General features: G+C 44.5%; 1 protein-coding gene and 1 long non-coding RNA gene across 17 annotated transcripts in view, besides 3 other annotated features; one reads left to right on the top strand and one right to left on the bottom strand.

The window, feature by feature from the left end:
• The window catches only part of MARCHF10 (membrane associated ring-CH-type finger 10), a 107001-nt gene that overhangs the window by 56242 nt on the left and 24600 nt on the right, over nt 1–26159 (top strand). For 6 of the 16 annotated variants that reach the window (XR_934406.4, XM_005257095.4, NM_001288779.2 and 3 more), the window contains 3 exons: nt 5095–5208; nt 7545–7697; nt 14741–16142. Coding sequence is in view for 15 of the 16 variants with exons in the window: in XM_005257095.4 (XP_005257152.2) it covers nt 5095–5208; nt 7545–7697; nt 14741–16142 (1669 nt within the window). In the remaining variant the exon portion in view is untranslated. The remainder of the gene's footprint in view (nt 1–5094; nt 5209–7544; nt 7698–14740; nt 16143–26159) is intronic. The other 10 variants (XM_005257102.4, XM_011524437.3, XM_005257103.3 and 7 more) reach the window with 4 other exon arrangements.
• Nucleotides 1062–1670: an enhancer, noted in NCBI's record as "H3K4me1 hESC enhancer chr17:60827764-60828372 (GRCh37/hg19 assembly coordinates)". NCBI's record gives its function as "activates a minimal SCP1, AML or CMV promoter by ChIP-STARR-seq in primed H9 embryonic stem cells {active_cell/tissue: H9 hESC(primed)}" and the evidence as "EXISTENCE:reporter gene assay evidence [ECO:0000049][PMID:30033119]".
• Nucleotides 1671–2280: an enhancer, noted in NCBI's record as "H3K4me1 hESC enhancer chr17:60827154-60827763 (GRCh37/hg19 assembly coordinates)". NCBI's record gives its function as "activates a minimal SCP1, AML or CMV promoter by ChIP-STARR-seq in naive and primed H9 embryonic stem cells {active_cell/tissue: H9 hESC(naive and primed)}" and the evidence as "EXISTENCE:reporter gene assay evidence [ECO:0000049][PMID:30033119]".
• Nucleotides 11484–12139: an enhancer, noted in NCBI's record as "NANOG-H3K4me1 hESC enhancer chr17:60817295-60817950 (GRCh37/hg19 assembly coordinates)". NCBI's record gives its function as "activates a minimal SCP1, AML or CMV promoter by ChIP-STARR-seq in primed H9 embryonic stem cells {active_cell/tissue: H9 hESC(primed)}" and the evidence as "EXISTENCE:reporter gene assay evidence [ECO:0000049][PMID:30033119]".
• MARCHF10-AS1 (MARCHF10 antisense RNA 1) overlaps nt 14151–26159 on the bottom strand; it is a 31717-nt gene continuing 19708 nt past the window's right edge. Inside the window, exon 3 of the long non-coding RNA NR_147886.1 lies at nt 14151–15987. This is a non-coding gene — a long non-coding RNA (MARCHF10 antisense RNA 1). The remainder of the gene's footprint in view (nt 15988–26159) is intronic.

Raw genomic sequence — 26159 nt, 5'->3', positions numbered from 1 at the left:
CCCTCCACGATAGGTAATGGTTTTCTTTTCTTCTTTTTTTTTTTTTCTTTTTTGAGATGGAGTCTTGCTCTGTCACCCAGGCTGGAGTGCAATAGCCCGATCGCGGCTCACTGAAACCTCTGCCTCCCAGGTTCAAGCGATTCTCCTGCCTCAGCCTCCCAAATAGCTGAGATTACAGGCATGCGCCACCATGCCCGGCTAATTTTGTATTTTTAGTAGAGATGGGGTTTCTCCCTGTTGGCCAGGCTGGTATCGAACTCCTGACCTCAAGTAATCCGCCTGCTTCGGTCTCCCAAAGTGCTGGGATTACAGGCGTGAGCCACCACGCCCAGCCTTAGGTGATAGTTTTCAACTGGATGGCTACAACTGTGGATTTTAGACTTGGAACTGATTTTAGCTGCAGCATCTCCCAAACTTTTTTGACAATAAAAATCACCAGGGAGGTTCTTCATAAAAATAAAAATTCCTGCTTCCTGTCCCTGACCCACAGCATCAGAATCTCCAGTAAAGGGGCCTGCGAAACTATTTTTGAACAAGAACAACAGGTGATTCTCATCACCAGGGTTTGGGCAGCTGTCTCAGATCCTTGCTTTTCCAAACATTAACATTCATGAGAAACACCTGGGGCTCTTGAGCAACTACAGATTCTGATTCAGAAGGTCTGGGTGGGCTGAGATCCTGCATTGCTAAGAAGTCCCAGGTGACATCGATGTGGCTGGTCTGTGAACCACCTTTGAAGGAGCAAGGCTAGAAAAAACACCCGTCTCGTTTTGCAGGTGAGGAAACAGGTTCCGGGCAGGTAAGCCGTCGATTCAAGGTGACCCAGCTGGTTAGTGGCAAAGCTGAGATTTGTCAGGCGTGAGGGGGTAGCTCTGACTCATGACTCCATCAGGCACCCGTATTCTGCCTCCAGCGAGGTTAGCAGTTTGAGCGTGAGGTTAGTGAACAGATCATCAGCTTCAACGAGACATCTCTCTTGTTTACCTGCTTTTCACCCAGCTTGATTTTTCTCCCTTCGCATGATCCCGCCGGGATCTCTCTCCTTTCTTTCTCTTTTTCCCAAGCTTCCCCTCCGCAGCAGAAAGGCCAGATCAGGGCATGACTACAGCCTGCTAGCGGGGGCAGCTGGAGGATTGAGGGAGAGAGCCTTACCCAAGTGAGACCCTGCGGGGCGCCATCTGTTGCTACCAGCACAGCTCATTAAGCTGGCAGTGGGAGACGAGAAAGGCCCCAGAGCTTCCACACGGCAGCCTCAGGACATTCTCCGGGATCTTACGGGGAAAAGAACTTCCCGACATCTGTCAGGGACGCTGGAGACTGTTGGCTGGAACAGGGTGTGATGCTGGTGCCGCTTCCCTTGGTTAACTCCGCAGTGACGCTGAGATCTAGGCCAGGTGCCTCCTGGGCAGGAGCCAGGCCTGCTGCTCCTATGACATTGGAGAACAATTTTTGAGTTTGGATTCATTCGCAGACGTTTCTATGTCCTTCCCCCCACCGCCAGTGCTGCTTCCTGACTGCTCTTTTTCTTTTGTGCAGGTGGCAGCAGCAAGCACCCCCTGTTCTGTGTTGAATACACCCCTTACTGCTCCGTCTTTGCTTTCTCCCCTGTCCTGCAGCCCAATACCAATTACTGCTGCCTCCTCCTGCCACTAGTGCCACCTGCCTCCCCAGTGGCCCAGGAACCTCCTGACTGTCCTCTCCCTCTGGTTACCGTTCCCTCCTTCACAAGCACCGCTTCCACCTCCCCGGACCCCGTGCCCGAGTCCCCCGCCGTGCTGTGCTACTTCCCCATCTCCTGCCCCACTCCGGCTGAGACCCCTGTGCTGTGCCTTCAGGGCCCCAGAAGGCCCAGTAGGATTTACCTCATGTGGTAAGTCACTCTTGCAAGGCACACAGCACAGCGCAGTCGGGGAGAGGGGACTTCGGGCTTCCGGAAGGCAGGTGGACAGGAGAGGGGCCAGAGGCCACACCAAGAACAATACCAGGCGGCGTGGTGTTCGGGGGAGCAGGAAGATGGGACAGCGTGGCCACTGCACTGGGGCTGCACCTTCTAGCGCCAAAGGAGCGAGCGACCAATAAAATCCCATCCTCTCTGGAGACTCATTTGATTTCTTACCTCCTGTAGCTGGCACGCTGTGCAATGTCACCCCCAGAAACCAAACAGGCTCTCCTAATGCGTCTGATCATACCCTTGGCTATGTGAATGTGCACACGCCGAGGCCGCCCTGAGCGGTGGCACCGGGGGCAGGCCGTTCTGAAGGCACACACTGGAACCAAAACCCATTCAGAACCACTCGGAGGAGGGACAAATGAAAAGGCTCAGCCGATGTTTACATTCCCTTTCCTGCCTACTTATTAGGCATCACATTTCCTAAAATCAAAAATCCCACCCCTGAGTTCCAAAATAAAACATATTTATGGTACATAATTAAGCTTTAATTAAGATCTCCTCTGGGTACATGAGACAACACACATTTCTCGCACACTCAAATAGGCAAATAGACGCGACCTATTATTTGTGACTGCACAGAAAGCTGCCTATTACCCCAAGGCAACATTGGCTCCTGCGATTAAGCTGTAATTCTTCCCAGGATCCAAAGAAAGCACACTTTTTTTTTCAAAGAGTTGTCTCTCCATTGGGATCTTGGCACCTCCTAGGCACCAGAGATCCCAGTCAAAGTAATGTGGGGCGGGATAAGGGTTCCGGAACTGTATTTCCCTTTTATGCTTCCTTTTTGACTTTGTCTATAAAGAACTATCTGTGGATGACAAGTGTTGGGAAGAGCCGAACGTGAACAGCTGAATGGACTTGGTTCTCACTTGTCAGGGTCTTGTACAAATATAAGATTTCTACCTTTTTTTTCCCTTTCCTGGTCAAATTAAGAAGTCTTCAGTCGACAATCACAGTTTCCCAACATTGTCAAGAGAACAGAGGCAGATGCCTTTAATCTAAACAGCTGTTTGGTTTCTTTAAAACTGGAGGCATCACCTTTCTCAGATCCTGGAAGTAGGGGGTCTGTATGTTGTCCAAAGCAAACCAAAGTCTTCCCAAAATTCATTGATAAACAGGATATTGAGTTACCTGGCAGTGAAACTCCTGAACACAAACCCCTTCCTTTTCTGTAAGGCAAAGGGCTTGTCCTGCTACCTGAAAAGGAAGGTAATTTCATCGTCCAGGGTAAATAGGACTTGGTCTTCCTGCAGATTATGAATCCATGGACATGGTAAAGACCCATCCTAGCCCCCAAAGGTCTGAAATTTGATTCACTTTTCATGCAAGTGAAGTGATGGGAACTTGGTATACAAATTGAGGGTTCGAAACTCTTTTTCTAGACAATGTCGTGCTCTTGCCCAGGCTGGAGTGCAGTGGTGCAAACACAGCTCACTGCAGCCTCGACCTCCTGGGGCTCAAATGGTCCTCTTGCCTCAGCCTCCCATGTAGCCAGGACCACAGGTATGTGCCAGCACACCCAGCTAATATTTTTTATTTCTTTTTTTGTAGAGACAGGAGTCTCACTTTGTTGCCCAGGCTGGTCTCAAACTCCTGGGCTCAAGTGATCTTCCTGCCTCGGCCTCCCAAAGTGTTAGGATTACAGACATGAGCCACCATGCCTGGCTGAATGTTAGAATCTCTTTTTTGTTTGTTTGTTTGTTTGTTTGTTTGTTTTTGAGATGGAGCCTTGCACTGTCGCCCGGCCTGGAGGCTGGAGTGCAGTGGTGTGATCTCGGCTCACTGCAACCTCCGCCTCCCAGGTTCAAGTGATTCTCCTGCCTCAGCCTCCGTAGTAGCTGGGATTACAGGTGCGTGCCACCATGCCCAACTAATATTTTGTATTTTTAGTAGAGACGGGGTTTCACTATTTTGTCCAGGCTGGGCTTGAACTCCTGACCTCGTGATCCACCCACCTTGGCCTCCTAAAGTGCTGGGATTACAGGCGTGAGCCACCGTGCCTGGACCTAGAAACTCTTAAACCCATGTACACACAAACTGTGCAATCTAGGTCACCTCATTTGTGACTGCACTTACAGACAGAGAAGAGAAAATATTTTGCAAGAGTTTTGTTTTCCATGGAACCAAAAGGGTATCACAGGGAAGAAGTCAGCAGTGCAGCCAAATTAGATTATAATAATCTTTAAGGTCATGAGGCAACATCTTGTTCATCTTTGTGAACCCTCAAATTATAGCATAGCAAAGGCACACAGGTATTTGTTGAACAAATCATAATATAAAGAGTTGCTATTTGCCTTTTGGATTTTATAAAAGAAGGATTGAGGGAGAGAATCAACAAGAACTACACCGGAATGAAGGCTATTGAATAAGTTATTGCCAACCTGTGAAGTCTGCATAACAATGAGTTTCTGGTCAAATTCAGTTGTCTCATGGGAATGACTTCAGATTTCCCATTATTATTCTCAGTAGTAGTGGTAGTATTCTTTACAGTAGAAGAAGCAGCTACCATTATTAGCACCTAGCATGAACCAGTTAGGCCATTTATGTACATTTTTGCTAAACTTCACAGTAACAAGATGGACCATTTTACAGTTGCAGAAACTGAGGTTAAAGTTGCCAAAGGTCAGAGGATCCTGCCTACACTAATAGCAGCGATTTCTTCACTGCCAGGCCTAGTACAACAATCTCCAGTTGTTCAGCTTTATTATTTTAGTTTGCTGAGAACTTGATTAGAGGACACATGGTAATGGTTTTGGCAATCATTTAAGAGATCTGATGCTTTGAAGAAAGCAGTTTTTTTGAACAAGAAAACAAATTAAATAACCTTTTATCTTAAGCCATCTTGGGCGTTCTGCACAACAAAAAAATGTGTTCTAGTTTTGAAGTTCCCCTGTAGTTGGGCTGAATGCATCTTCTCAAGCCTCACAAATCATACTAATATTTGTCCTGCACGACAAGGCAATTAATACTTGTCCTGCACAGCAGTATGAGGCAACGTGTAGACTGGCTGAGAGACGATCCTCATTCTTAAGGAGCGTGCAGGCTAGTTGGAGAGAAAAGACATACTCATTAAGCAATTTTAGAATATTTAAACACTAAAGGCCATTTTTTAAAAACGCTGAAAGTAAGGGTTTTTTCCAAAGCAGAGTCAGAGCCGACTTGGTGGAATAAACCGGAAACAGACCTCGGAGGACCTTCTGGCTGGTGCAGTCTGGGGAAGAAAGGTCCCATGAGCAGAAGCATCCCTCCCTGTGAAGGTGAATGCAGTGGCGGGGCTCAGTGGCCTCTGGGCAGTGTGAAGTTCTGCTGCCTGGGGTGCGTGGGAACTTTGAATATTCTGCTGGGATTCCTGCTGGAAATCAAAGTGAAATTCTTATCCTCAGGACCTTGGGGCCAGGTCCTGACCTTCTAGACTTGGCCTGAGCCCCACGCCTGCCCCTTCCCTGGCCCTTCTTCTGTTTCTTCCTCTTCTCTCCATGAGTTGGAAAGCAGGAGGCAGGACTTCTGAGAACTGAGGGGGTCTGAGGTCTCAGGTGATAAGGGAGAAGCTTCTATGTTCAAGGAATGCAACTTTTGGTAGTGGGAAAATGCTTCCCTCCTTCCCTCAGTGATGGATCCCTTAGTGTAAAACACCTGATCCCTCTCTCTCTCTCTGTCTTTCTGTCTCTCACTCTCTCACCTTCCTCCTCTCACCCCCTTTTTGATCAGCAAAATCATGTCTAATCAACATCCTACGCCATCCCAAGACTATCTTCTCATTTTCCAGAGAACTTTCACTCTCTCCTTTCACACCTACAACTTCTCTGGGCTCCACCAACTTGCCCCAAGTTGCTCCGACACCACCAGCAGCTTCCCTCTTCTAGTAAGTTCCCTGCGGGGCATGATCCTCTCTGTCTTGGCCTGCAGGACCCACTGCCATGCCCTCCTGGGGCCCGTCAGAAGTAAGTAGACCTAGTCATTGTATTAAATTAGGTTTCATGGGCTGCCAGAAAGAACTTTAATTCCCTTCCTGAATCTGGAGGAAAACTATTCACACGACTACAACTTACACTCTGGAACATGACTCCAGTTGCCTCATGTGCCAAAAAAGGCTGTGCTCTCACACACAAGTCGGGGGCTTTCCCCGGCTTTATCCCTATGTTACCAGCTGGCTACATCTATTTGTGAAATTTCCAAACTGTCTAAAGAAGATGAGCCAGACAAATGATCTTGGGGAATTTCGTCCAGATATTCACGATGTAACTGCCTTGTAAACCCAAGAACTTGTAGAGATGCATGGTATATACTAGAACTTTTCCTCCACATTCACGTGCACTGACGCTAAATACATGTGAAGAGGAAACTCAAAACTGTATCAATTAGCAACCCAATTCAAAATGTAGATTAAAAAGATAATGTTCATTGGAAACTAGGTCCACAATAGCACCCCAGCTACTGTCTTCCTATGAATATCGTCCCAACACAGTGGAGGGTAGGGGACAGGAAAGAGAAAGGCATACGGTTCCCAGATGCTTGCAACCTTTCTGTACGGGCATGTTTGCTAATAAACCTGAGGATATAAATATGCAGGTATTATACAAAATATGTTGTGATTCAAACCTGGATGAGCACTTGGGAGGCAGGGCCATTGCGTGTCCCAACTGTAGAAGGCTCTTGACAGTGTTGCTAGCGGGCATATCCCAACACCTATGGATTGGAACCTAGAAACTTCTTAGCAAGGCTGGGCGCAGTGGCTCATGCCTGTAATCCCAGCACTTTGGGAGGCCAAGCTGAGTAGATCACTTGAGGTCAGGACTTTGAGACCAGCATGGCCAACATGGTGAAACCCTGTCTCTACTAAAAATACGAAAATTAGCTGGGCATGGTGGCAGGCACCTATAATCCCAGCTACTGAGGAGGCTGAGGCAGGAGAATCGCTTGCACCTGGGAGGCAGAGACTGCAGTGAGCCAAGATCATGCCACTGCACTCCACTCTAGGCAACAAGAGCAAGACTCCATCTTAAAAAAAAAAAAAGAAAAAAAGACAAAACTTCTTAGCAAAAGGAAAGATCCCTACCTTCGGCCTCTGCATCGCAGGCATCATGGGTGCTTATGAAGGAGGCTTTTTTTTTTTTTTTTGAGATGGAGTCTTGCTGTGTTGCCCAGGCTGGAGTGCAGTGGCACCATCTCGGCTCACTGCAAGCTCCGCCTCCCAGGTTCAAGCAATTCTCCTGCCTCAGCCTCCGGGACTACAGGCATGCGCCACCATGCCCAGCTAATTTTTGTATTTTTGTAGAGATGGGGTTTCACCATGTTGGCCATGCTGGTCTCAAACTCCTGACCTCAGGTGATCCTATGAAGGAGGCATGATTATTTCCATGTAGCAGGTAGGGAAACTGAGGCTTGGAGAGGTGAAGTGATTTTCCCAAGCTCACATGGTTACATGAAACCAGATTTCAAATCCAGCTCTTCTGTGACCTCCTGGGTCCCTTCTCTTGACTGCCCTTCCACCTAACCCCACCCCCAAACATTGCTGGGCCCTTTGAACGTTCTTTATATGGAAGACATTTTCCTGTAAACAAAATAATTATTGAAAAGACTTTGCATCTTTCAGCAGACCAAGCACCAATGGTTTTATTAAGAAAGAGGAAGCCAAACCTGAGGAGATTTACAGTCAGCCCAGAATCGCACAGCCCGAGAGCATCTGGGGACAGAAGCAGACAGAAACAGCAGTGGCCTGCAAAGGTGCCGGTTCCCAGGGGAGCAGGTAAGGACCCGGGGCTCCCGAACCTTTGTCCTTGGAGAGGAGGACTGATTTTTGCTGTTACCCGGTGAATTCTTTATGGTTTTTAGATACTTGTACTTTTAAGTAAATGAGGTGCATGTACCTTAAAATGAAACAGCTTTAAAAGCAAATTGTATGATCCTAGGGCTTTTGGCGTTTTTTTTCCTCCAAGAGAGGCTGGTGGGAAAAGGGGAAGGCGGGGTCGGGGGGGATATCTTTTTCTCTCCCATAACTCCATGAGTGTAACTGGTTTTGAGTGGACACCAGCTGTACAGCTGCTCCAGAGGGCATTTGGATGGTGGATGGCATTTGGGTGGTAGATGGCAGGGGTTGGGGAAGGCAGAGAAGCGGATCTGCAACTCTGGGGCATGTCCCACCTGGCAGTTGTTCTCACTTAGTTCCTGGGATAGGGAGGATGTGTGTCTGTGGGTGACAGGCTGCTCACCTCCCAGCAGAGATCTTCTCCCCTCTGACCCAGGGCACTCAACTCAGAGAGATCATGATGTGTGAGAAATACACAATATTGGAACGAATCTATGCTTTATTCCCAAAGACTGGTTTGGTGTATCACCCCCTTGGAACTCATGGAAAGCATCACCTCACAGTCAACCTGGCCATAGACCCATTCTTTCTCTTAGGAAACCACTGAGCATCCCATTATGTCATGACCAATGAACACAGTTGCCTTTATTTTTTTATTGTATTTATTTATTTTGAGGTAGAGTCTCCCTCTGTTGCCCAGGCTGGAGTGCAGTGGCACCAGCTCGACTCACTGCAACCTCCACCTCCCGGATTCAAGCAATTCACATGCCTCAGCCTCCCAAGTAGCTGGGACCACAGGCGCGCACCACCATGCCCGGCTAATTTTTTGTATCTTGGTAGAGACAGGGTTTCACCATGTTGGCCCGTCTCAAACTCCTGGCCTCAAGTGATCTGCTTGCCTTGGCCTCCCAAAGTGCTGGGATTACAGGCGTGAGCCATGGCACCCGGCCTGCCTTTGTTTTTAAATGTGATATAGATGGTGGTGGACATATATACATATTGAAGAATGTGTTAGTATTTTGATGGCTTGGAATCTGCATATATGAGTCTGCAGCAAGGAGATGTCCACAGGGTCCCAGTGATCAATGCCTTCTGCCGGGAAGGGCATGAGCTTTAAGGCAGCCTTCAGCTCCAATGCCAGCTCTTCCTCCCAGCAATGGCATCTTGGGTGCTAAAGTAGCCACTCTGGGCACCAGTTCCTTTATCTTAAAATAAGGATAATGAAATCTACCTCATTGCATTGTTATAATAACTAAGTAAAATAATACACTGACCAGCACCCAGCACAGAATAAGTCCACACAGTGGGCACTGAACTTTTTATAGTTTCTCTCCTGCCAACAACCCTTAATGAACTGTTGAATATTATTTGAAAGGTGAGGTTCACCAGACAGGGTGGCTCACCCCTGTAATCCCAGCACTATAGGAGGCGGAGGTGGAAGATCACTTGAGTCCAGGAGTTTGAGACCAGCCTGGCCAACATGGTGAAACCCCATATCTCCAAAAAAAATAAATAAATTAGCTCAGGACATCGAGGCTGCAGTGCACTGTGAACATGCCACTGCACTCCAACCTGGGCAATGGAGTGAGACACTTTCTCAAAAAAAAAAAAGAAAAAAGAAAAAAGAAAGGAAGGAAGGAAGGAAGGAGAAAGGTAAGCGTCTCCATGTGTGAAATGTTCCTGGACCCACGGATGGGACTCATACAATTCTGTCTGCACCCAGGAGTCATCGCCCATCATCCTGTGACCTGATGAGAATTCATCCTAATGTCCCATTATACCCGTGGCTCCTTATCTCCCCAAATTATTTCCTCACAAGTCTCCCTTTAGCTTCTTTTCTCACATTCTAAAGTGGTTTGCACAAAATGGAGTAGGAGCCAGGTATTTGAATTGTATCAGTGAAAGAGTTGAAGCAAATATGACAGAGATAATATGCAGAAAGCTCTCACAAATCAATAAGAAAAACACAAATACCTAATAGAAAAATAAGGAAGGAGGCTGGGCATGGTGGCTCATGCCTGTAATCCCAGCACTTTGGGAGGCTGAGGTGGGCGGATCATTTGAGGTCAGGAGTTCAAGACCAGCCTGGCCAACATGGTGAAACCCTGTCTCTACAGAAAATACAAAAATTAGCTGGGCGTGGTGGCACATGCCTGTAATCCTAGCTACTCCGGAGGCTGAGGCAAGAGAATCGCTTGAACCTGGGAGGTGGAGGTTGCAGTGAGCCAAGATCATGCCTACTGCATTCCAGCTTGAGTGACACAGTGAGACTCCATCTCAAAAAAAAAAAAGAAAAAAAGAAAAAAAAACAGTTTCCAGGCTGGGCGCGGTGGCTCATGCCTGTAATCCCAGCACTCTGGGAGGCCGAGGCAGGTGGATCACAAGGTCAGGAGATCGAGACCATCCTGGCTAACATGGTGAAACCCCATCTCTACTAAAAATACAAAAAAAAAATTAGCCAGGCGTGGTGGCGGGCACCTGTAGTCCCAGCTACTCGGGAGGCTGAGGCAGGAGAATGGTGTGAACCCGGGAGGCAGAGCTTGCAGTGAGCCAAGATAACCACTGCAGTCCAGCCTGGGTGACAGAGTGAGACTCTGTCTCACAAAAAAAATAAAAATAAAAATACAGATGGCTAATAAACATTTTTTTAAAGTTCATCTGGAGACAATATAGGTCATATTTTTTAAAAAGTTCAACCTCAGAAGGTAATAAATGTAAATCTACATGACGTAAATTTGGCCTACCCATTTGACTAAGGTTTTAAAAATGATACGTAATACTAGTAGTGAAACTAACAACGAACATTCCTGGGCACTGTTGTGTCTATGCTACTGACATGGATTGCTGGTGACAGTTATGAGAGAGATGCTTTCATAGCCTACCTGTTGGGTCATTTGGTAAAAACTCTCTGGAAAGGAATTTGGTAACGTGTCAAAGCCTCTTAGAAAGTTCATACCTTTTGACCTAGCAATTTCACTCCCATAGATCTAGTCTAAGAAAATATATAGTCAAAAATGTATGAGCAAGGACATTTATCACATTGTAATCGCTGACAGTCAAACCTCAAAACAACCTATATACCCAACAATAGGGGAAGAGTTAACAAATTATAATATATACCTTTATACTATAATTAATATCATGTTCTTAAAGAATAGCTAATGGCATGGCATAATGCTCATAATAAGATACTTAATTTCTTCACTTCAGTTTTGTTTGTTAAGAAATATCTCTTGATAAGAGAGCCCTGGGTTATAAATTCAAATGCCTTCAGGGAGCAGGTGGATATAGCAGGACAGATGCATAACGGGTTATGGAGCCTGTGGTAAGCTACAATATACATGTTCCACCTAAAGGTAATAAATTCATTGTTCAAATACTGAGCCATGGCCAGACACGGTGGGTCATGCCTGTAATCCCAGCACTTTGGGAGGCCAAGGCAGGAGGATTGCTTGAAGCCAGAGGTTCAAGACCAGACTGGGCAACAAAGTGAGACCCCATCTCTAGAAAAAAATTTTAAAATGAGCCAGGTGTGGTGGCATGCACCTGTAGTCCCAGCTACTCAGGAGGCTGAGGCAGGAGGATTGTTTGAGCCTACAACTGTACTCCAGCCTGGGTGACAGAGCAAGACCCTGTTTCTAAAATTAAAAAAAAAAAGTAAGAAAAAAAGAAGCTGAGCCAAAGCACAATTGCAGGATGAAAACAGCCCTGGGGTCTTGAGTATGCAACCCACTCTGAATTCCAGAACAATAGCAATGATCATCCGAGTTTTGGATTATGGGGGATTTTTATTTTATTCTTCATCTTCTTCTATAGTTTCCAAATTTTCTCCAATGATGATAAACCACTTTTATAACCAGAGGGAAAAAAGTTAAAAGTGTGTGGCTGTTGGAATGTAGGAAACTATTGGTCAAGCACACCAAGAAGTCGAAGGCATAGTCTTAAGGCAGACAGATGCTTGTTCTGGTTTCATTCTGTTGCCCTAGAACTCCTGGAGATGGCAGGCACTTCACTCACAGCTGGAGCCCAGGGCCTCAGAGAAGCATTTGCAGCATCTGCAGGGCCTGGTCTATGAATAGCACATCCCTGGCATACCAGTGTGCCTGTCTATTCCCAGCCCTAGAGCTCCTGAAATCTGCTCTCTATTTGATAGACATAAAAAAATAGGGTTAAAATAGCATAAATCGAGAATGGCACAGTCTGCCACCTTTAGGGGAAACACACACACACACGCACACACACACACACACACACACACACACACACTGCAGAGAAGCTCTGATTGAATTTTTAAAGAGGAAGACCATTGTGGTGACGAGACAGGGGTGAAGATGCATGTTTCAGGAATCTGCAGGAGCCGCAACACCGCGCATACCCTGGGACTTCTTCTGTCCCCCAGGCCAGCATCACTCTGTGGCAACTCAGTGGCCTCTATGAGATGAGCTAATGGCTCCCGTTGAGCTTCCAGTTTCTGTTTTTCAAAAGCGGCCCTTGCTGATTCTTTTGCCCATTGGGTGTTTCTCCTCACAGGGATGGGTCATGTGCGTTCAGGGAATGACCGGAAGATTCCGGTTCCAGCGCTGTGAGCTCACCTCCAAGGCCCTCCAACAAATTCAAAACAAAAAGTCATCAGCCGGCCGGGCACGGTGGCTCACACTTGTAATCCCAGCACTTTGGGAGGCCAAGGCAGGCGGATCACTTGAGGTCGGGAGTTGGAGACCAGCCTGACCAACATGGAGAAACCCTGTCTCTACTAAAAATACAAAATTAGCCGGGCTTGGTGGAGCATGCCTGTAATCCCAGCTACTCAGGAGGGTGAGGCAGGAGAATTGCTTGAACCCAGGAGGTGGAGGTTTCTGTGAGCCGAGCCGAGATCGCACCATTGCACTCCAGCAAAAAGAGTGAAACTCTGTCTCAAAAAAAAAAAAAAAGTCATCAGCCAAAGCCTGCACTGCCAACTCCTCTGGATCCCTTTTCTATTTTATTGATTTATGTATTTATGTATTTATTTATTTTTAAGACAGAGTCTCACTCTGTTGCCCAGGCTGGAGTGCAGTGGTACTATCTGGGCTCACTGCAACCTCTGCCTCCTGGGTTCAAGCGATTCTCCTGCCTCAGTCTCCCAAATAGCTGGGATTACAGGTACACACCACAGCACCCGGCTAATTTTTGTATTTTTAGTAGAGATGGGGTTTCACCATGTTGTCTAGGCTGGTCTTGAACTCCTGACCTTAAGTGATCTGCCCACCTCGGCCTTTCAAAGTGCTGGGATTACAGGCGTGAGCCACAGCCCCCAGCCCCCTTTTCTATTTTAAAAAATTTTCAGGAGAATTCAGTTGCTTACGTAGAAGCATTTGTTCCCAAAATGGGGGTCGGCCCAGTCTGGAGTGGCCTCGCCACCAGCTCCAGCGCTGTAGTTCCACAGCCAGATGCTCAAAGCATCCTTGAATTGCTGCTGCATCTCTAACTGGGGTTTATAAAACCCAGGAGGGGCCTGAGAGGAGAGCTTAACTGATTTCTAGAAGAGCTGATGAGTCAAGATTCATACTGCGTTGCTGAGTGTCCCATGCAGTTAACAATAAAAGAAGCTGCCCGAGTGTTAGGACATTAGAGACTCACACTGGTGTCCCCCTGTGAGGAGCCCCAATTAAAGTGAGCCAGAATTGACTTGGCCCTTGGTGGTGCCCGATGCTCTGAGGATTTGCATTTCACCAGCCCGAGCTGTTATCAACACAGACCTTCCAGGGCCCGTGGAGTCCCGTCCACTCTACAGGGTGAACCGCTTTAGAAATGGAATGATAAAAAGAGCAGCATCTCATCAGATCCCACACAATAGCAGAGAGGAGAACAAAGCGGGGGGAGGCCGATGTCAGGAGGGAATAAAGGTAAGTGGCATCAGAGAAGTACTGTCAGTTTCCTTCTCACATCAAGAGGGTAAAAGACCCTCAACAGCACACACACACCACGATGAATTCAATGGATTCTCATTTTCACAAGGAAATCGGAAGGCCAGCCAGTTTCTTAAGGGCTAACACAGGGTGGTGGTTAAGAACACAAACCCTAGTATCGAGCAGGCGTGGGTTCAAATGTTCATTCCATCACTTACTGGAAATAGGATCTTGGGCTAGTTATGTGACTGCCCTAAGCCTTGGTACTCTCAAGTTATAATGTCGTATGATTGTGTTACCTATTTCACAGGGTTGTGAGGCTTAAGTTGTGTGTGTGTGTGTGTGTGTGTGTGTGTGTGTGTGTGTGACAGAGAGAGACAGAGAGAGACAGTTAGCATGCTTCTGGCCAGTTCAGTGATTCTGTGTAGGAATTCATAGTAGGGATTCTAGGGCAGCCAGAAGTTACAGAATTGACCTGGGGCTAGTGACAAAGAGAAGATAACGATTTCATGAGCGATTTATAATTTTTATTTTCACTAAATAGTAAACATGACCAAAATCCCCAGTGTTCCCCGGGCGCCAGCTCCTATAGCCTTCCTCCTGATCTGCCAAGACATGTTATACTTCTCTTAAGTTCTTGTAAAGCTGCGTGGGAGGCAGGGTGTCATAAATGTACATTGAATGAACGTGGATGAGAAAGGGCTGGTGGTTTTTGTAGAAGTCATTCCCAGAGTGGTGGTTTTCCCTTTCAGTACGTATGGAACAAAAGCCAGTATTTAGTGTGAGGTTTGCGCATCATCAGTCCTGACTGGCTGGGGCTGGGCCAGTCTTCCGGGAGCTTCTGCAGAAAGAATCTGTATCCTCAGGGTCCCCCCATTTCCCTAGGACCACAGGGGTACAAAGGAGAATACGGGGCAGTAAAATGAAGCCTGCTGGGCTCTGCTCCTCTTGTACCTCCAGCCATTTTGACCGTGTCTGTTTTCTTCTCTAGGTCTTGTCTGTTGCATTTAAAGGGCAATTTTGCACTTGGTGCTAGAGGCCTTTCATCCATGGGCCCTTTTACTGGAACGATAAATGTGTCTTTTCTCAATGCAGATCAAGTAGTTCAACAAGAAGGCCTGATGTGTAACACTAAGCTGAAGAGGCCAAATCAAGAGAGAAGAAACTTGGTCCCATCGTCACAGCCAATGACTGAGAACGCCCCTGATAGAGCCAAAAAAGGAGACCCGAGTGCTCCTTCCCAGAGTGAGCTGCATCCAGCCCTGTCCCAGGCCTTCCAAGGAAAAAATAGTCCTCAAGTATTGAGTGAGTTCTCGGGGCCACCACTCACACCCACCACTGTAGGAGGGCCAAGAAAGGCATCATTTAGGTTCCGAGATGAAGACTTTTATTCCATTTTGTCATTGAACAGCAGAAGAGAAAGCGATGACACTGAAGAGGAAACCCAGTCTGAAGAATGTCTGTGGGTTGGTGTGCGCTCACCCTGTTCTCCTTCCCATCACAAAAGAAGTAGATTTGGGGGGACATCGACCCCTCAGGCCAAAAATAAAAATTTTGAAGAAAATGCTGAAAATTGCAGAGGTCATTCTTCAAGAAGAAGTGAGCCCAGTCATGGCTCATTGAGAATAAGCAATGCAATGGAGCCAGCAACAGAGCGGCCTTCTGCTGGGCAAAGGTTGTCCCAAGACCCCGGGCTGCCTGATAGGGAATCTGCTACAGAGAAGGACAGAGGTGGCAGTGAAAATGCGAAAAAGAGCCCTCTTTCGTGGGACACCAAATCCGAGCCCAGACAAGAGGTTGGTGTCAATGCTGAAAATGTATGGAGTGATTGTATTTCTGTGGAACATAGGCCTGGCACCCATGATTCTGAAGGATACTGGAAAGACTATTTAAACAGTTCTCAAAATTCTCTTGACTACTTTATTTCTGGCAGACCAATATCTCCAAGATCATCAGTGAATTCATCCTATAACCCTCCTGCATCATTCATGCATTCTGCTCTGAGAGATGATATTCCAGTAGACTTGTCAATGTCATCGACTTCAGTTCACAGCTCAGACTCAGAGGGAAACTCAGGGTTTCATGTTTGCCAACCACTGTCTCCCATTAGAAATAGGACTCCATTTGCCAGTGCCGAAAACCATAATTATTTCCCAGTAAACAGTGCACACGAATTTGCTGTCAGGGAAGCAGAAGATACTACTTTAACAAGCCAGCCTCAGGGGGCTCCACTATATACAGATCTCTTACTAAATCCACAGGGCAATTTGTCCTTAGTGGATTCTTCCAGCTCCTCTCCATCAAGAATGAACTCAGAAGGCCATTTGCATGTGTCTGGGTCTCTGCAAGAAAATACACCATTTACTTTCTTTGCAGTGTCTCATTTCCCAAATCAAAATGATAATGGGAGCAGGATGGCAGCCTCTGGTTTCACAGATGAAAAGGAAACCAGTAAGATAAAGGCAGACCCTGAGAAACTCAAGAAATTGCAAGAAAGGTGAGGACTTTTCATAATTATATATTTTTTCCACTTTCCCAAGGCCAAAATTAGCATTGCTTTCGTTAGAGAGCCATGGGAATTTTAAGTCATAAATGGGTCCTTCCTTGACATTTTAGTGGTTGCTTATTTTGAGAAAATTGTCTCTGTTTTGTTGCTCTTAAAATATACGTATTTATAAAGAAAAGTCTGGTGTTCCTGATCAGTTTCTTCTCTATTTCCCAAAGTGTTTTTTTCCTTGAATACCACACCCTTAAGTCTGCTGGGTATAAGGATCTCTGACTGCTTCACAGGGCTTGTTCTTCTCTCCAGCAATGAAGAACCAAGATTTTTTAGGAAAAGGTTGCTATCTCCCTAGAGAATGAACCAGTCCACACTTGAAGTTCGCAGCTCTCCCTTATGGGACTTACCCCAAATCCAACCAACAGTTCTAGAATTCGAACCTTGCGAACTAAAAGACCGTTCTTAGTTACCATAGTTACCTCGGTTCTCTGAAGGGCCACGCTGGGGTAACCACTGCTTCTATTTTATGTGCTCTTTTTCATGCAAGAGAGAGAGAGAAATAAGATCTTTTCTGAATTGCCCTTTTCTTTGATCTTTCCTTTTTTGTGAGATGATTTGGGGATAGTTCACAGCTATGAAATGTGATACTTTGTAAAGCCATCATTAAACACCATGTCAGGATTCTACCATTTCATTTATGATAGGTGTTTACCATGCTCTGATCTTGGCTTACTGATCTGGAAATTGATTCTTGGAATTTGAGCCCTCTTTGTGTATATTAGCATGACTCATGTGGGCTGTGAATTAGAAAGGTAAAAACGAGAGGAAAATGGAACATAGAATGCATACCTGTTCCTATTAATAAATATCATTTATCCAACTCCAGTAATGAAGTAACTTTCTAGTTAGCAGTACCTTTTCTTTTCCACATTAAGCTACCAGAAGACCGACCCACGGTTAAGGGGCAAGAGACCTTACACCCACCAATCCTCACCTCCCCAGAAATACAGCTTCAGACCTACTTGTCAGAAGTCTAAATTTCTACCATCCCAAAGTGATGCCCTTGAGCTAAAAATAATTTCTTTGAAAATGCATTCACTTCCAGGCATGGTCTTGCATTAAACAGCTATTATTCGTGTACCTATTAATAGTTTATCCAGACACTCTCTTTTTTCTGTATATAATAAACTTTATGCTTTTCTTATTATTTCAAATTTGTTCCTTTTGGGAAATATTAAAAATACAGATTTAAAAGAAAAATCACCTGTAACCCTATCATCCAAAGATAAACAGTTAAAAACATTGTTTCTAGTCTTTTATCTTTGCATATAAATGCAATTTTTAGTGAGTATCTGTTGATATTATTTTCCAATATGCCTTAATTTAATATCTAATCCTATTTCTCAATCACATGTTTTTAAAAGTTCACCTCAGTTATCTTAATACATATAAATTAATACATGACATACGTACACTTCAGAGAATTTTTAAAGCGCACACATCACACACAAACCCAGACACCCCTGTGCCCACCGTCCAGCTAACAGAACATTCCTTACACACTGGAGCCCTCCTGAGCCCCTCACCCACCCTATCTTCTCATCTTCCCACCTTCAGCTCCCCACACCCACCCTGACCATTCCTGTATTGCGTTTATCATCCTTTTGCATTTCGTTGTGTTGTGTTTTGGGGTTTTTTGCTTTGAGCTTTTACCATATGTTTATATGTTTTTTGTTTTTTTTTCTTGAGGGAGTCTTACTCTGTCTCCCAGGCTGGAGCGCAGTGGCATGATCGCGACTCACTGCAACCTCCACCTCTAGGGTTCAAGCAATTCTCGTGCCTCAGCCTCCCATGTAGCTGGGATTACAGGCCCACACCACCATGCCCAGCTAATTTTTGTATTTTTAAGTAGAGGCAGGGTTTCACCATGTTGGCCAGGCTGGTCTCGAACTCTTGATCTCAAGCAATCCACCCGTCTTGGCCTCCCAAAGTCCTGGATTACAGGCATGAGCCACCGACCCAGCCAGTTTTTCTAAACAATATGTTGTGTATATTTATGAACTCTGAGCAAGTGTTTGACTCTGTAGAAATAGAATCTCTAGTCTTCTGTGACTTGCTTTTTCCTCTTACATCCTTAGTGAGATGCATCCTTATTGATATATTTGGCTTTGGTTTATTCTTTTCACACTACAAAGTATTCTCTCATATGGATATACCACAATTTAGCCATTCTGTCAATGGACATTCGTGTCCTTTATTGTTTGCTGCAAATGGCGCTGCATGAACATTCTTGTAAATGTCTCCTGGCTCGTGTGGAAGAGTTCTCTGGGATCTTGTCTAGGAGTGGAAGAGCTGGGCTGGTGGGCTGGTGGGCTGGTGGTGAACACATTTTCCACTGTACTAAATAATGCCAATTTAGTGTCAAACCAGTCATGTCTAATGTTATACATCCTTGACAACATTCGTATTGATTGGCTTTTCAAATTTGCCAGTCTGATGGGAATAAAATGATATTGTAGCTTGAGTTTGCATTTTCATGACTTAATGAAGTTAGGCATTTTATATGCTCTTTAAATATTAAATGACCATTTGTGTTTTCCATTCTGTGAAATATTGATGTCTTTATTTTTTTGTAGAGATGGGGTCTCACTACGTTGCCCAGGCTGGTCTCAAACTTTTGGCCTCAAGCAATCCTCCCACCTCAGCATCCCAAAATGCTGCGATTACAAGCATGAGCCACTTTGCCTAGCCAAATATCTATGTCTTTAGCTCATTTTTCTTTTAGAGTATTTGTATTTTATTTTAAAATACCTTTATATCTCTGGCCTATTAATTTAATCTTTCAACAGTTGTGTGTTGGAAATATCTTTTCCCAATTTGTAGTTTGTCTAGTTTGTCTTTTTCTTTATGTTGTCTTTTTTTTTTTTTTTTTTTTGAGACTGAGTCTTGCTCTATTGCCCAGGCTGAAGTGCAGTGGTGTGATCTTAGCTCACTGCAACTTCCGCCTCCCAGGTTCAATTGATTCTCCTGCCTCAGCCTCCCCAGTAGCTGGGATTACAGGCGTGCACCACCACGCCCAGCTAATTTTTGTATTTTTATTAGAGACGGGGTTTCACCGGGTTGGCCAGGCTGGTCTCAAACTCCTGACCTCAAACAATCAGCCCGCCTCATCCCCTCAAAGTGCTGGAATTACAGGCTTGAACCACCGTGCCCGGCCCCATCTTCTTTTTGGATTGCAATTTGTATCTTGTCTTGCTTAAGAAATCCTTCTCTTAACCTGATATCGTTATGCTATTCTTCCTATTTTCTTGTAAAATCTCTAGCTTTATATTTAGGATTTAATGTGAAATGGATTTGGACTTAAATGTGAAGTGGTTCTTAATCTGTGATGTGAAGTAAGCTTTATTTTTTCCCACTTATGAATATGAAATATCCGAGCGTTTGGGATAGTTCCCTGTTGATCTGCACAGCCACCTCTCCTTTGGAACATGCCTCAACAGGCCCCAGTTTCAGGGCTCTCTATTCTGTTGCATTGGTCTTTTGTTGTCTTTCCCTAATCTAATGCCATTCCGTCTTAATGCCTGCAGCTTTCATAACTTTTGATATGCGATGATGTAAGCCTCCTTCCCTACTTTTTTGAAGAGTCCTTGACTGTATACTTAAGAATCCACTTGTTGGGATTTTTATTGGAATTGCATTTAATCTATAGAATATTCTGGGAGAATTGACATATTTGCGATATTGACTTTTTCTTTGATAAACATGCTGTATCTCTCTCCTTTTGTTTGTGTCTTCTTTAATGTCTTTCAGTATAGTTTTGTGGTTTTCTTCATAAAAGTCATTTATTTAATTTATCCCTTGGTTCTTTTATTTGTTGTTATTTGCTATTGAAACAGTATTTTAAATTCTAATTTTAACTCTTTGTTGCTAAGATGTAGAAATCCAACTGACTATATGTTTTCTCTGTATTTTTGCCAAAATACAAAATAATTTCAACTGTAAAAAATATTAGTAGTTTGATTTCTTTCTTTCCAAACTCTATGCTTTTTAATCCTTTTCTCATCTTACAGTGTTATGTCAATTTTTTTGAGGGCTGCTTATATTAAATGTGTCTATTATGATTTGATCGGTCTCCTTTTATAACACATGCATAACTAATTACTTAGAAAAACTTCCTAAATGTGTAACTGCTGATGAAAGGAATGCAGAGTCTTAAGGTTCTTAATGTATATTGTCAAATTGTGCTTCAGGAAAGTTCTACACGTTAGCGATCTCACCACCCCTTATGAGGGTCCTCTTTCTCCACGCCCTTTCCAGTTCCAGGAATTTCTATGCTTTTTAATGTTTGTCATTAGTAATTCTTGGCTGGGCACAGTGGCTCACTCCTGTAATCCCAGCACTTTGGGAGGCCAAAGTGGGTGAATCACTTGAGGTCAGGAGTTTGAGACCAGCACCTGGCCACCGTGATGAAACCCCATCTCTACTAAAAATACAAAAATTAGCAGGGCATGGTGGCGCACACCAGTAGTCACAGCTATTTGGGAGGCTGAAGTGGGAGAATCTCTTGAACCCAGGAGGCAGAGGTTGCAGTGAGCTGAGATGGCCCTACTGGACTCCAGCCTGGGCAACAGAGCAAGACTCCATCTCAAAAAAAACAAAAAGTAATTCTTTGTCAAATATTTTACAGATATGTTTTTACTTTTCCCATTTTATTTACTTTACATTTTATGTATATATTTTTGGTGTAGTAGAATTTTAACATTACTTACAATCAAATCTGTCAGTATTTTCCTGTATCACTTTCACATTTGGTGCCATGCTTAGAAACTCCAATGCTCACTCAAGCATCCATAATTATTTTTGTCTAGTATTGTTATATTCTCCTTTCATATATCATAGTGGTTAGAAATATGGGCTTTGCTGTCTTATGGTTCTAGATTTCATTCCTGATTCTACCAACTTTTAGCTCTATGATTCTGGCAGTTTCCTTCACTGCTTTTTTGTTGTTGTCGTTGTTGTTGTTGTTGTTGTTGTTGAGATGGAGTCTCGCTCTGTTGCCCAGGCTGGAGTCAGTGGCACGATCCTGGCTCACTGCAAGCTCCGCCTCCCGGGTTCAAGTGATTCTCCTGCCTCAGCCTCCCGAGTAGCTGGGAATACAGGTGCCCACCACCATGCACGGCTAATTTTTGTATTTTTAGTAGAGACAGGGTTTCACCACATTGGGCAGGCTGGTCTCGAACTCCTGACCTTGTGATCCACCCGCCTCAGCCTCCCAAAGTGCTGGGATTATAGGCATGAGCCACCACGCCCAGCCAGGTTCCTTCATTTCTAAAAACCTGTTTTTTGATCCAGAAAATAGAAATAACAATACATACTCCTCAAAGAACAGTGACAACTAAATGAGGTTTTAAACATTTATGTGTGTCATAGACTATCTAGCATACAGTAAGCGCTTAATACATGGTAGCTATACTTAAATTCATATGGAATATATTTTGATGTATGGTATTAGATGAGGTTCTAAGGTCTTTTTAAAAATGTTTATCCCATTAATCCACAATCATTCTATCCTTTCCTTACTAATTTGAAATGCTTTCTTTGGCATACACTATCCTTATCAGTCTGTTTTCGGACTTTCACTGCGTGAAATGCTCCATCAATTATACACATTTATTGTTGATTTATGGTTTTGTTTTTGTTTTTTGGGGTTTTGTTGTGTGGTTTTTTTTTCATTTTCTTTTTGAGACGAAGTCTCACTCTGTTGCTCAGGCTGGAGTGTAGTGGTGCAATCTCGGCTCACTGCAACCTCCACCACTCACTCAGGTTCAAGCGATTCTCCTGCCTCAGCCTCCTGAGTAGCTGGGATTACAGGCAGGCGCCACCTCACCCGGCTAATTTTTGCATTTTTAGTAGAGACGGGGCTTCACCATGTTGGTCAGGCTGGTCTCGAACCCCTGACTTCATGATCTGCCCACCTTGGCCTCCCAAAGTGCTGGGATTACAGGCGTGAGCCACTGCACCCGGCTGATTTATGGTTTTTTAAAAATATTTGAGGGCTGAGCATGGTGGCTCATGCCATTAACTCCAGTGCTTTGAGAGGCCAAGGTGGGAGGATCACCTGGGGCCAGGAGTTCAAGACCAGTCTGGACAACATGGCGATACCCTGTCTCTACAAAAAATATATATGTTCTCTGGGTGTAATGACACATGTCTGTAGTCCCAGCTACTCTAGAGGCTGAGGCAGGAGTATCCCTTGAGCCCAGAAGGTCGAGTCTACAGTGAGCTGTGATCACTGCACTCCAGCCTGGGTGACAAAGTGAGGCCCTGTCTCTAAAAATATATATATATTTATATATTTATACATTTATATTTGTATATTTATACATATATATGTATATATATACACACATAGATTAAATATATTTTTAGTATATTTATATAATAAATATATATCATCTACATATAAATATATATATAATCTCTCTTTGTTACCCTCTTTTCAAAATTTTTTATTGCCCATCCTAATTTAATTACATTGTGATCTCAGAAAATACGAACAGTATTTTTTGTGCCCTAATACATATTCAATACTTATAAATATGCTATGGCATTAGAAAAGGTTGTACATTCTTTCTTCTCTCTTTGTTGGCATACATATATAAAATACATATGTTAAAATCCTTCAGGCCAGGCACAGTGGCTCACACCTATAATCCCAGCACTTTTAGAGGCCAAGGTGGGCAGATTCCTTGAGCTCAGGAATTCAAGACCAGCCTGGGCAACATGGCAAAACCCCGTCTCTACAAAAAAAAAATAAATAAATAACCTGGGGTGGTGGCGTGTGCCTGTGGTCCCAGCTACTTGAGAGGCTGAGGCAGGAGGATCACTTTGAGCCCAGGAGGTGGCAGAGGCTGCAGTGAGCCAAGATCTTGCCACTGCACTCCGGCCTGGACAATAGAGTGAGACCCCTGTCTTAAAAACAAACAAAAAAACCCTTCATACTTTATTCTTTTCCATTGAGTTTGTCAATTTCTGAAAGACATTGATTAAAATCCTTCACTCTGATTTGGATTTGCCCATTCTCCTTTGCATGTATAAGAATTTTGCTTTTATTTAGTGCATTAAAGCTCATGGCTGATCTCTTCTTGGTGGATCAATCAATATTTAGCTTTAGACTTTTAGCCTGAATTATATTTTGTCCATTAATATTGTTTCACCTGGAATTTTTTATTTCGTTAATCACATTTTTTTAAATCTCCAGAAATCCTCCTTATCTCTTGCTGTTCCTTTTACATAGCAGCTGCCAATATTCTCTGAATCCTCCTGAGAATTACCTCCTCCCTTCGTTAAACAATTCATTTCCTCTAGAGTCAGCTGACTTATTTTCCTTGTCCCCTCTCATTCATGCTGGTGGTTTCCACATGTGACAGGTGGCCCCCAGTTGTTTCATGAAGGAAGGAATGGGTGGTTTAGTAGAGAGAGGTGGCCAGCACGCTGTCCCCGGCAATTGTGTGCTTTTTCTCCTCTGAGATCCAGTTTCCTGAATGGGAGGTTTTGTGTAATTGAATGTCATTCGTGAACTTTTTGAAAAACTTTGACCTGTGGCCAGGCACAGTGGCTCACTCCCCACAGTCCCAGTACTTTGGGAGGCTGAGGCAGGATTGGTTGAGGCCAAAACTTTGAAACCAGTCCTGGCAACAATGGAGACCCTGTTTCTAAGAAAAAAAAAATTAAAATTAGCTGGGCATGGTGGCGTGCACCTGTGGTCACAGCTACTTGGGAGGCTGGAGTGGGAGGATCAGCTGAGCACAGGAGCTTGAGGTTGCAGTGAGCTATGATTGCCACTGGGCGACAGAGTGAGACCTGTCTCTAGCAAGACAAAAAACTTTGACCTTTATGGAGAGTTCCCTTTCTTTGGAATACAATGACAGAATGTTCCCCTGGGAGAGGCACTATGCCACCTGCTGCCTGCATCACAGGGTATCTGAAAGGGGGCAGCAGCTGGTCCCCTCGTGCTGAAGCAGTTCTTGAGCTCGTACCCTCATAATTGCCCCATCCCCTGCATTGGTGCAGCCCAAGCCTGGCATTTCCCTGGGTCTGCCCTTCCCTTCTCCATGCTTCTGTGAGAATGCCTTGGGTTGCCATTTCCTTTCCTCTCGTCAATATCATCATATCTTCATCGACTTTCCAAGAATTCCTCATTATTTCTGGCCTGCTTGTTTTCCAGCACTATTGTGGATTCATTCTATTTAATTTTCTTTTTTGGTCTTTTAAGAGATTTGTGTGGGAAAGGAGACTGATGGGGGTGCTTAGCCTGCTATCTTGAGCTAATCCTAAAAGCAGTCTCAATTCTATAAAACAGTATGTGCACAGGAGTAATACCAAAGGCTAGTACACCAAGCTATATATTTTTTTCTTTTTTTTTGAGACAAGGTCTCGCTGTGTTGCCCAGGCTGGGCTTGAACTCCTGAGCTCAAGCCATCCTCCTGCCTCGGCTTCCCAAAGTGCTAGGATTACAGGTGTGAGCCACTGCACCCGGCCAGACTCAACTATTAACAAGCAGTTACTTTGGGGTAATGATTTTATGCTTGATTCTCCTTTTCTTTTCTGTGCTTTTCTGTCTCTTCTTCACTTTTATTTGTTAAAAAAAATTTTTTTGCAAAGTAGGGTAGCCAGTGGATCCCCACCTATACCTTTGAGAAGATGGAGGACCTTAAGTTAAGAGTCAGATATTTATCAACCATAACAAGTTCACCACAGAGCCCTTCGTCCTCCTGTTGAGATCAGTGATCTTCAGACCTGCATGACCATCTTAACGTTCAGGTTCCTGGGCCCCAGATACTGAACCAGAACCTCTAAGGGTGGAGCCCAGGAATCTGTTTGTAAAATCTCTACCGGTGAACCTGATGGTCATTTATTTTCTATTGGAAACCACTGATTTAGAGCACTTGTTTCCAAATGCAAATCCCGTGTAGTTGCCTAAATTAAAAATCTTCTAGGCCAGGTGTGGTGGCTCACACCTGTAATCCCAGCACTTTTGAGAGACCAAGGCAGGCGGATCACCTGAGGTCAAGGGTTCGAGACCAGCCTGGCCAACATGGTGAAACCCTATCTCTACTAAAAATACAAAAATTAGCCAGGTGTGGTGGTGCACGCCTATAATCCCAGCTACTCGGGAGGCTGAGGCAGGAGAATCGCTTGAATCCGGCAGAGGTTGCAGAGAGCTGAGATCGAGCCACTGCACTCCAGCCTGGGTGACAGAGCAAGACTCCATCTCAAAACAAACAACAACAACAAAAAATAATCTTCTACCACTTTTCTGCCTACCTTCTCAAACTTGCAAGATCTCTCTCTAGTTTATCTTCACCAGTTGGAGCACTCACTCCCATGTACACATGTTCTTCCTGATTACTTACGAAAATATGGAAATTATGTTGAAATGTATTGAAGTCTGAATGTTGAAAATGTCTTTAAGTTATTGAGAATGTCCATAATGGAAAACTGTAATTCTGCTTCTTTACACTGAGCTGCCCTTTCATGGGGAAAAAAGTCTTTCAAGAAATTGAGCATATATTTCTCCATCCAGAGCAATGTCCATTTCTTCCTCTTTTGATTTTAGTCTCTAGCCAGTTTCCTTTCCTTGACCAGATGGCCCCCAGTCCCGTGAGGACTCTAAAGAAAAGAAAATAGCCTTAGGCTTCTTAAAACCTCCCAACATGAACATCGACCAGCTATTCTTCACTCACCATTTATTAGACACAAATATCTTTACTTACATTTTCGTTAGTTCTTATCTTCATCAGATTCCAGCCGCTTACATTCTGGAATGCTGATGTCATTTGTTGGCATGTGTGGTGTTATTCGGGAGATTGTGTCCAGGTTTATTGGTTCATCATCCACCTAAACCAACATCTATTAAGTGAACTCTGTGCACAACACCTTGCCAGACACTAGATGTACTTTACAGTTTGCAGAACAGGTTCCTCATTGTCACACGTAGCCAGCCTGGCCACA

Source organism: Homo sapiens, chromosome 17, assembly GCF_000001405.40.
Source record: "Homo sapiens chromosome 17, GRCh38.p14 Primary Assembly".
In the NCBI taxonomy this organism is placed as follows: domain Eukaryota; kingdom Metazoa; phylum Chordata; class Mammalia; order Primates; family Hominidae; genus Homo; species Homo sapiens.
Note: the sequence above shows the minus strand (reverse complement) of the source record. Positions and strands in the feature narration are given on the sequence as shown.